The 11,655-nt window shown below is 43.4% G+C and overlaps 1 pseudogene; it reads right to left on the reverse strand.

The window, feature by feature from the left end:
• RNU6-415P (RNA, U6 small nuclear 415, pseudogene) lies at nucleotides 228-324 on the reverse strand (annotated as a pseudogene).

The following is an 11,655-nucleotide window of genomic DNA, read 5'->3' on the forward strand; positions in this document are numbered from 1 at the left end:
AATAGGAGTAAGTTCCAAAGAAGCAGGATTTGCTTGGGTTGTTTGAAGGGAACTGCTTCTACCCATAGTTGTCTTCCTGCCGCCTCCTTCATTCGGCTTACTTGTTCTCTTTTTCTTTACCCTTTTTGTCACAACTGTACTGATTTAGTTGGATTTCTAACAAATAGGGATTGTTGTTGCCTGGGGTCTTTCAGCTGTTGAAAGTTCTTGTTTATCTAGATGTGACTTAAAAAATGAAACACTTCAAGAATTTACGTGTCATTCTTGGCACAGGGGCCATGCTAATCTTGATTGTTTGAATTTTTAATATTTTTGCTAACAAAATGAGCCCTAGATGTGATTTTTTTTTTTAATGTGTACTCATGGTCCCTTGAACATTAGTGTTACTGGTTAGGTATTTAAAGATTTTCTTGCCGAGCGTGGTGGCTCACACCTGTAATCTGTAATCTCAGCACTTTGGGGCTGAGGTGGGAGGATTACTTGAGCCCAGGAGTTTGAAAGTAGCGTGGGTAACGTAGGGAAGAGACCTTGTCTCTACAAATAATTTTTTTTTTTTTTTTTGAGGCAGAGTCTCTCTCTGTCATCCAGGCTGGAGTGCAGTGGTGTGATCTCGGCTCACTGCAAGCTCCGCGTCCTGGGTTCATGCCATTCTCCAGACTCAGCCTCCCGAGTAGCTGGGACTACAGGCACCCGCCACCATGCCTGGCTAATTGTTTGTATTTTTAGTAGAGATGGGGTTTCGCCACGTTAGCTAGAATGGTCTCGATCTCCTGACCTCGTGATCTGCCTGCTTCGGCCTCCCAAAGTGCTGGGATTACAGGCATGAGCCACTGCACCCGGCTTCTACAAATAATTTTATGAGTAGCCTGGCATGGTGGCGTGTGCCCATGGTCCCAGCTACCTGAGAGGCTGAGGCAGGAGAATCACCTGACCCCAAGATATCAAGGCTGCAGTGAGCTGTGATTGTACCATTGTGTTCCAGCCTGGGTGACAGAGCGAGACCCTGTCTCCTAAAAAAAAGTTGAGGACTCGATCTTTTCGTTTATATTATCAATATTTACTGTGCTAGAAATTAAAACTTTAAAACTTAAAAATACGTGTCTTCATTAGTCATCAGAATGATACCGTCACACATCATGTAACCTCAGGAAAATTTCATGTACACTCGAGAAAAAGACTGATTTAAAATAGCTTTAACCTCATAGGCAGCATGAAAATATCTCAGGTACTGCAGAGATCTCTGGACCACTCGTTGAGAACTGCCGCTATAGATATTTGTGTCCTGAGGGTTGTAACAGTCTTAGGGTTCTGTATTCAGAAATTTAAACATTCCTTCACAAAACCTGAAAGTCAAGATTTTGTTCGTTATTCATTAAGCCTCCTCCCTCCATTTAAATATAGCATTAGAAAAGAACATTGATAGGTTTACCTGATGACACTAAAAGAGGCAGTAATCTTTGGACATTAAATCTACAGAGTATTTTGAATATGTTTTCATTTACTAGTAATTTTAATGTCGCTCCAGAATATCTTACATATTAGTAGTAAGTAGCTGGAATGATGTAATCAAAATCATACTGATTAATAATTACTTACCAAAACATGAAATTAGATGAATATTAATATTAGTACCGTTAGGTTTTAATACGGTTTTTTCTTTATTTTTTATTTTTTGAGACAGTCTTGCACTGTTGCCCATGCTGGAGTGCAGTGGCGCGATCTCGGCTCACTGCAACCTCCGCCTCCCAAGTTGAAGCAATTCTCCTGCCTCAGCCTCCCGAGTAGCTGGGACTACAGGTATGAGCCACCGCACCCAGCTAGTTTTTGTATTTTTTTAGTAGAGATGGGGTTTCTCCGTGGTCGTCAGGCTGGCCTCGAACTCCTGACCTCAACTGATCCACCTATCTCAGCCTCCCAAAGTGCTGGGATTACAAGCGTGAGCCACCACGCCCGGCATGTTTCCAGATATTTTTACTCTCTGGTGTTTATTAAACTTAACCCAGGCAGACTGAGTCTCAGCCATGTTAGAGATTTTCCTGGATTAGCTGCCTTGTAGTACAATCTAGAATTTTTAGTGTTCAATTTATTTCTTGAACTAATCATTCAAGTAGATTGAAGGAAGAGTTACTGGAAGGGTAGGAAGAAGCATGGCTTGTGATGAAGGGTGCATTTTGACAAGTATTCTTCTGGCTCTTTGCCATCCTCTCCTTTTCCTGTTACTGCTTCTAATTAAAGGTTCTGGTCTATATCTAAGTAATACATAGGTTTTTTTTTTTTTTTCTTCTTTTTTTTCTTTTTTTTGAGACCGAGTCTTGCTCTAGAGTGCAGTGGCTTGATCTCAGGTCACTGTAACCTCCACCTCCCTGGTTCAAGTGATTCTCCTGCCTCAGCCTCCTGATTAGCTTCGATTACAGGCACCTGTTGCCACGCCCTGCTAATTTTTTTTGTATTTTTAGTAGAGATGGGGTTTTCACCATGTCGGTCAGGCTGGTCTTGAACTCCTGACCTCAAGTGATCTGCCGCCTTGGCCTCCCAAAGTGCTGGGATTATAGGTGTGAGCCACTGCACCCGGCCAATACATAGTTTTTTTTGTTTTGTTTTTTTGAGAAGGAGTTTTGCTCTTTTTGCCCAGGCCTGAGTGCAGTGGCGCAATCTTGGCTCACTGCAACCTCTGCCTCTTCGGTTTAAGCTATTCTGCCTCAGCCTCCCGAGTAGCTGGTGTTACAGGCATGCGCCACCATGCCTGTCCAGTTTTGTATTTTTAGTGGAAACAGGGTTTCTCCATGTTGGTCAGGCTGGTCTCGAACTCCCGATCTCAGGTGATCTGCCTTGGCCTCCCAAAGTGCTGTGATTATAGGCGTGAGCCACCATACCCGGCCTCAATACATAGTTTTTTAAAGTTCACTCTTTTTTTTTTTTCTTTTTTGAGATGGAGTCTTGCTCTCTTGCCCAGGCTGGAAGTGCAATGGTGTGATTTCCACTCGCTGCAACCTCTCCCTCCCGGGTTCAAGCAATTCTCCTGCCTCAGCCTCCTGAGTAGCTGGGATTACAGGTGCGTGCTACCACACTGGTTAATTTTTGTATTTTTAGTAGAGACGGGATTTCACCATGTTGGCCAGGCTGGTCACGAACCCCAGTTTTTTATTTCTTTTTAAAAAAATTCGTTAATTTCCAATGAGCACAAGCCAGGCAGTTTTTATAGTTTCTCCCATTAATCAGTTGTGATATTTTCTAAGTTTTGAAATTATTTCCTCAAAATCGAGGTAACTGGCCCTTGATTCTCCTTTCTTGGGCATCCTTATAACTGCCATGTCTTATGGGCATTTGTTGTTGTAATATCTGCCGTCATTTTTGCAGTGTATATTTCAAACAAAGTTAGTTACAGAGGTTTAGTAACCTTGCCTATGGTCTGGTCGTTTAGCTAAGAAGTGACAGCGCTGAGTTAAACACCACCTTGTTTCCCAGCCACACACATATCCATTAAATTCCTGAGTCTTATGAATTACCAAATACTTTTGTCTGTCCCATCTGCCTCTTAAATGTCTACAGTGGAGAATGTATTTTAATAGTTTTCTGGATTAAAATAATCATGCTCCTTTCTCCTTTAAAACAAATGGTTTCCTGTATGATAGTGTTTTGAATCATGGGAGTAAAGGGCAAGTTAGGTTAAGGTACAAACTCTGAAGCTAAACACAGCTTCTGTAGCGTCCAGCCCCATGGGGCTTAGGGGGTGTTCTCCCCGTGTGCAGAGACGAGAGATTGTAAGAAATAAAGACACAAGACAAAGAGATAAAGAGAAAACAGCTGGGCCTGGGGGGGGCCACTGGGTGTGCTGATATTTATTGCATGCAAGACAAGGGGGCAGGGTAAGGAAGGTGAGCCCTCCAAGTGATTGATAAGGTCAAGCAAGTCATGTGATCACAAGACAGGGGCTCTTCCCTTTTAGGTAGCCGAAGCAGAGAGGGAAGGCAGCATACGTCAGCATTTTCTTCTATGCACTTATCAGAAAGATCAAAGACTTTAAGACTTTCACTATTTCTTCTACCGCTATCTTCTAAGAACTTCCAAGAGGAACTAGGGGTACGGGAGGAACATGAAAGTGGACAAGGAGCGTGACCATTGAAGCACAGCACCACAGGGAGGGGTTTAGGCCTCTGGATGACTGTGGGCAGGCCTGGATAATATCCAGCCTCCCACAGGAAGCTGGTGGAGCAGAGTGTTCCCTGACTCCTCCAAGGAAAGGGAGACTCCCTTTCGTGGTCTGCTAAGTAATGGGTGCCTTCCCAGGCACTGGCGTTACCGCTTGACCAAGGAGCCCTCAACTGGCCATTATGCAGGCGTGACAGAAGGCTTACCTCTTGCCGCCTTGGTTACTTCTCACAATGTCCCTTCAGCACCTGACCCTATACCTGCTGGTTATTCCTTGATTATATTAGTAGTACAATAAAGAGTAATGTTAAAAGCCAATGATTAATAATGTTTATACTAATGACTGATAATGTCCATGATAATCTCTGTATCGAATTTGTATTATAACTATTCTTATTCTAGCTATTTTCTTCATTATACTGAAACCGTTTGTGCCTTCAGTCTCTTGCCTCGGCACCTGAGTAATCCTTTGCCCACAAGCTTCCCCAGTCTTCACATCACCATGCTGTGTTTCAGTCAGTTCTCCTTTGCTTTTTGCTTCTAAGCTTGCTTTCACATGCTGTTGAATGGAAGAAACAAGTTGGAGAACAATAATACAGTATATGAAAAAAATATCGTATTTCCTAGGGTATATACATATGTGGGTTGGTTTTTTTTTGTTTTTTTGTTTTTTTTTTTGAGACGGAGTCTCTCTCTGTCGCCCAGGCTGTGCAGTGGCACGATCTCGGCTCGCTGCAACCTCCACCTCCTGGGTTGAAGGGCTTCTTCTGCCTCAGCCTTCTGAGTAGCTGGGACTACAGGTGCCCACCACTATTCCTGGCTAATTTTTGTATTTTTCGTAGAGATGGGGTTTTACCATAATGGCTAGGCTGGTCTCCAGCTTCTGACCTTGTAATCTGCCTGCCTCGGCTTCCCAAAGTGCTGGGATTACAGGTGTGAGCCACTACACCCAGCCAAATACAGTTTCCTCTTAAATGCATAAATGAGCAAAAAAAAAGGAAGAGACTAAAACTGAAAACCCCAAAATTTTGCCTGCCTTCAATCTAGGTAATACAGAGATACTGCATACAAAGTATCTTTAAAATATATAAAAAGAATTGAAAATGTGAGAAAAGGGAACAAAATAGACTTAACCAAGACCAGCATAAAGTAATGGCATACTTTGTAAATAATTCAGAGCAATCTTCCACTGAAGACAAGAAAATAAGCAGAGATATAAAACATCTGCTTGAAGGCATTGGAGACCTAAGAAAATGGCGAAGACTTAATGGGCCAGCATTTGGTAGAGAATTGAGTTTCAGGGCTGTAAGTCCATATTCAGTGTGGCTTTTATTTTGCAGTTGTTTGCAAAGGTCAGAGAGGCTTTTGGTCTGGTTCTTTTGATAGTCTCACTTGGACTAAAGGACATGATTTGGAGTCTGATATCTGCCAAGAAATTAGGACCCCAAAAGGATATACCCCAGGAATAAAGATGAACCAAATTTAATTACTTCTTCAAACAGTTTTACAAATATATGCAGCAAATAGCTAGTTTTGCGTGAGACAAAACTACATGAAGTCAGGTGTGGTGGTGTGTGCCTGTAGTCCCAACTACTTGGGAGGCTGATGTGGGGGGATTGCTTGAGCCCAGGAAGGCTGCAGTGAGCTGATTGCCTCACTGCACTCCAGCCCGAGCAACAGAGAGACCTTGTCTCAAAAAAGAAATAGAAGTACTTGGAGAAAACATCAAGAAACTCATCTGAGAAACAGAGACAGGATATAGGCTGTTGTAGATCCAGTTTACTTTAAGAAGTAAGTGCTGGTGGGGTATAATGTTTCACGCCTATGATCTTAGCACTTTGGGAGGCTGAGGCAGGAAGATCACTTGAGCCTAGGAGTTGACGATCAGCCTGGGCAACATGGCAAAACCTCATTTACAAAAAAACACAAAAATGAACTGGGCACGGTGGCTCACACCTGTGGCCCCAGCTACTCTGGAGGCTGAGGTGGGAGAATCACTTGAGCTCAGGAGGTGGAGGTTGCAGTGAGCTGAAATTGCACCACTGCACTCCAACCTGGGCAACAGAGTAAGACCCTGTCTCAAAAACAACAAAGTGCTCTACATCATTCCTTAAGTAAGGAAAGTCAGATACTGACATTTTAAGACATTTAAAAAAGTATGCTTACTATATTTAGAGAGATGAGATAACTTAAACAGCAAACTTTAAAAAGCATATCAGAATTCCACATGCAAAACACAGTAGCTAAAATAGGAACTCAATAGGTTTAACAGTGGGAAGATAGGTCAGGAAACAAATACGCATATTGAGGGACAGAGACATTAAGGATAGACAATGCATTGGTAAACCTAACTGAAAATATAATTATTGCAGGAGCGAATGGGGCAATAATCGAGATTGATGACTTTGCAGAACTGTTAATAAAGTGTTAACTTTAAGCATGACAAAAATAACCAGTTAAAGATATTAAGACTAGGCACTGCAGCTTAATTAGTGTAATCCTAGCACTTTGGGAGGCAGAGGTGGGAGGATTGCTTGAGCCCAGGAGTTCAAGGCTGCACTTCAGCCTGCATAACAGAGCCAAGACGTCTTTAAAAAAAAAAAAAAAAAAAAAAAGCGTATATAATTAAAACCTAAAGGCAATTTTAAAGGCATCCCAATTAAAAAGACTTGACAATGCAAATAATGGAAGCCAGGAGGCAATGGAGTATGTTTAGAAAGCTGAAACAAAACTGCAATTTAAAATTCTAAACTCAGTAAAAACCCTTCAAGAAAACATTTTCAGACAAAACTCGAAAAATGTGTTAGAAAATTTACCAGCAAACCCAAACTGGAGAAAAAGTTATTTTGTTTTTTGAGATGGAGTCTCGCTGTCACCCAAGCTGGAATGCAGTGGTGCAGTCTTGGCTCACTGCAACCTCCACTTGCCGGGTTTAAGCAATGCTCCTGCCTCAGCCTCCCAAGTAGCGGAGACTACAGGCACGTGCCATCATGCCCAGCTAATTTTTTTGTATTTTTAGTTAACCAGGATGGTCTCGATCTCCTGACCTCGTGATCCGCCCGCCTCGGCTTCCCAGAGTGCTGGGATTACAGTTTGTTTCTTAAATGTTCATTGCAAGGTGGACTGTGAAAGCATATCACAATTTAAAAAAATTGTTACATTAGAATTGTTAGATTAGAATCATTTAGTATTTGCATGGATATTTTGCTCATACATGGTTTTGTAAGATTTTGCATTGGTCATTTGGAAAATATTTACTGAGTCACGCAAATTTTTCAAATATTGACCTGCCTTACACAATATGGAAGACTGATGCAAGGATTTCTGAGGAGGAGTTATGTAGATGGGCCTCTTTAGATCCAGAGTGAAGATATTAGTGTCTTGTATGAAAGTTCACCAAAGGGCATTCATGGTAGACAAGGCTTCCATGTGTCATCTCGTGTAAGAAGAATTGTAGGTGTTTTAACCACGTCCCCAGCTAGGGTCTCATTGCCAGACGTGAGTGAGCCTTCTGATGATTATAGCTCCCAGTCTTTGAGCCCTCCCAGCTGATGCAGAATGGGACAGAGATGAGCTGTCCCCTCCAGCTCCTACCCTAATGGCAGACTTGTGAGTCAGATAAATAATGTTCCAAGCTACTAAGTTTTGGAGTGGTTTGCTATGTAGTAGTGGGTGACCTGAACACTTGGCTACTTGCCATTGCGATTGCCAAATCTGCCATTCCCTGATATGGTGTATTTCCTGAGGTTACAAGCCAGCCACTTGGTGACAGGTTAATTACGTTGGACCCCTTCCATCATCAAAGGGATGCCAGTTTTTCCTCACTGGAATAGACATGCATTCTGGATATCTGGATTTATTAATATAATATTAATACTTTCCCTGTCTAATGCTTTTGCTAACACAATCATCCGTGAACCCAGAAACCTTTATTCATGGTATTCCGTGTAACATTGCTTCTGGCATACACTATCAGCCTGAGAAAATGGAATGAGCTATTGAGGAGTCAGTTGTGGTGCCAGTTGGGAGACCTGAAAAGTTGAGGTTCTTAATTAAAGGATGCAGTATATGCTGTGAATATGGCCCATAGATGGTGATCTCTCATGGAATGCACAGGTTTGGAAATTAATAGGAGTGGCTTCTCACTATCACAAACCAATTACAGAATGTGTGCTTCCCATTCCTGTAACTTTGCGTTCAGTTGGTATAGAGGTTTTGGTTCCCAAGGAGAAATTCTGTCATCCAGGCAACATGATGGGTCAGTTGGATTGGAAGTTAGATAGCTATTTTGGTCATCTCATACCACCGAGCCAACAGGCAAAGAAGAGAAGTACTGTACTGGCTGAGATGATCGGCTCTGATTACCAAGAAGAAATTTGGGTGCTGCTATATACAATGAGGAGAGAAAGGACCATGTCTGGAACCCAGAGGATTCTCTGGGATATGTCTTAGTACTTCTGTGTTCCTAGGTAAAGTTTAATAGAAAAGTACATAAGTTAAAAAACACAAGACCACTGAGGTTTCACATTCTTTTAGGAATGAGTTTTGAAGTCACCCTATCTGGTGACAAAACAAGACCAAAACCAAAAACAGCTGAGGTGCTGGCTGAGAGCAAAGGAAACATGGAACAGGCAGGAAGAGGAAGAAATATCAACTACATAGGGTCTTAACGACCAGTTATGAAGACAAGATGAAGACAAGGACTATAACAGCTTTGTGCCTTTTTTCATGTTATAGAATAATCAGATGGGATTACATTTGAATTAGAAAAGTAATTAACATTGCACAGGGAGGGATACAGACTGTTGACACTGGTGAAGAGGATGAGAGTGTCTACCTTTGTATGAAGGATATTGTATCTTACTAGGCCACAGCATGAAGTGGTGGTGTTATGTGGTGATTAAAATATGTGTGGAAGGGTGTATATGGATGCCTAGCATCCTAAGGGGAGGACTGAGTTGGTTATGAAGTTACTGGATCTCAGCTCTAAATCCTGCTCTGTGATCCTGTGGCTGGGACCCTAAATTATTTGTCAGCTGGCTTCTTGTTAGGTTCTGCCAGTAGAGGGCATTAGAGGGACACTGGAAGGCAAGGGTCGGGGGCCGGGGGTGGGGGGTGGTGCGGGGGAAGGGTCTTCCTCCTTCCTGGTGGCTTGCTGTTCTGTTAGCTGCCTGACAGCAGCTGTTGGGTCCAGTCTCTATTTTGGGGGTAGAGGGGGGATGCTCAGAAGTGGCCTCAGAGGTTCCAGCACCCAGAACAGTTTTGCCTTCATTCTCCTCCTTTGCTCCTTGTAACACATATAAATCACCTCTTGGGGGTTTCGGAATTGCCCAAGCTGAGAGGTAGCAGTATCTCCTTGTTATAGTTATCACATTTCTATATTTCTTCCAGATGGAGGAAGGATTACAAAAAGGCAAATGGCCAAATCTTGTTTTACTGGGGCAGGCTTTTCCAAAGGACCAGGCAGAAGCACCATTTTATTTATTTGTTTTAATTTAAAAAAAAATTTTTTTTTGAGACGGAGTCTCGCTTTTTTGTCCAAGCTGGAGTGCAGTGCAGTCTTGGCTCACCACAACCTCCACCTCTCATGTTCAAGCAATTCTCTTGCCTCAGCCTCCCGAGTAGCGGGGATTACAGGTGTGTGCCACCATAACCCAGCTAATTTTTTTGTATTTTTAGTAGAGACGGGGTTTCACCATGTTGGCCAGGCTGGTCTTGAACTCCTGACCTCAAGTGATCCGCCTGCCTTCGCCTCCCAAAGTGCTGGGATTACCATTTTATTTTAAAACACAATTGTGGTTATATTGTTTTGATTTTTTTGAAAAGCTTTACATGAGATTTGATTTCTGGCTGTCTTTTGCTGCGCTAACAAACTGTCCCAGAACTTTATAGCTTAAAACAACCATTTTGTTTTGCTCATACCTTTCTGAATCATGAATTCAGGATAGGCTTGGTTGGGCAGTTCATCTTTGATCCATTTGGCGTTAGCTGCCGTGGCTGAAATTGTGGAGGATCTGCTTCCAAGATGGCTTCTTCACTCATGTATCTCGTACCTCTGTGTTCCTTGGCCCCTCTTTCCTCGACACAGCATCTCAACCACTGAGGGCTTCTCTGCATGGTTTGCACATCTCATACTGTGACTTGCCAGCCTCAGGCTGGTATCTCAGGACTCCAAAATTACATGGTATCTCAGGACTCCAATAGTGAGGGTTCAAAGAGATAAGAAATGGAAGCTGCCAGGCTAGTTAAGGGCTGTGGTTGAAAGTACTGGTTTTTTTTTTTTTTTTTTTTTGGGACAGAGTCTCACTCTGTCGCCCAGGCTGGAGTGCAGTGGTGCAATCTCGGCTCACTGCAAGCTCTGCCTCCTGGGTTCACACCATTCTCCTGCCTCAGCCTCCTGAGTAGCTGGCACTACAGGTGCAAGCCACCATGCAGTAGTCTTTACACTTATTTATTTCTTGACATTTAGAATATTGGAAACAATTAAGAAAATCAGAATTGAAAATGAGGAAGAAGAAATGTGAGATGAATGGTTGGTTTCAGAAGAACAGAAGCATGTGCGTTTGTGATGCAGCCTTGGGGGAGAGAGAGAAGGGCAGCTGAGCCTGGGATATGCTTCCAGTCCTGGGGAGGGGTTTGGGTGGTTGCTGGTGGTGTGTCTAGGGGTGATTAAGTTTAGACAAACCTCTGAGTGTGTGCGTGTTTGTGTGTTTGTGTGTGAAGAGGGAAGTTTGGTATGTCCTTGACCTGGTGCTCTGTGGCATAAAGTTACCATGGGCAGAGCTAATGGCAGATTGTCCTGGGCCTAGGAATGGTCTCAGCATTGCAAAGCTCCCTGGTGAACCTGAGCAATAAAGGTAGCACGTTTCCTCTATGCTTGTGACATATGTGAGGGCTACATGGTTTCCTTCAGGAACTAAGTCAACCTGCCCTTTCTGACCCCAGAGCCGGAGACACAAGGACTCACTCTGGGTGGACTGATCTGGGACCCTGGAGGTTCCTGGTACAACCTGTGTCCACTTGGGACACATTCTTGCACTTTTACTTTTCCAGAGGATTGTGCAAGCCTTTACTTCCATAGGCAGAGAATCTCATCCTTCCCCCTTGATCACCCTTCTCTTCATTATCCAAGAATTCCAGTCTTTCTGAAGCCATACTGGGAGACCAGAAAATTAGATGTGCGCATTATGTTACCATAGTGGCCATAAGGTGTCGCTGTTGTAAGGGTTTCCCCACAATCCATGGGCTCAGCCCATTCCGCCCACCTTCACAGGGCCGAGGTGGCATCCTACTCCAGTGCCCTAAAGCTGCTCCTCTCTTGGCCACCTCATGTTCAGCCATCATCCCTCACAGTAGGACACCCACCAGAGTTTCCAATCCTGCAGCAGCTTCACTCAGCCTACCCACTGTGCGAACCTGGCCTCTGTGAAATTTTAGATCCTGAACTGGGGCCAGCCTCCTCTCCTCCCCTCCCTTCTGAGGGAGTCCCCTTAAGATCTTTTCCTG

This window comes from Homo sapiens, chromosome 15 (genome assembly GCF_000001405.40).
Source record: "Homo sapiens chromosome 15, GRCh38.p14 Primary Assembly".
NCBI lineage: Eukaryota > Metazoa > Chordata > Mammalia > Primates > Hominidae > Homo > Homo sapiens.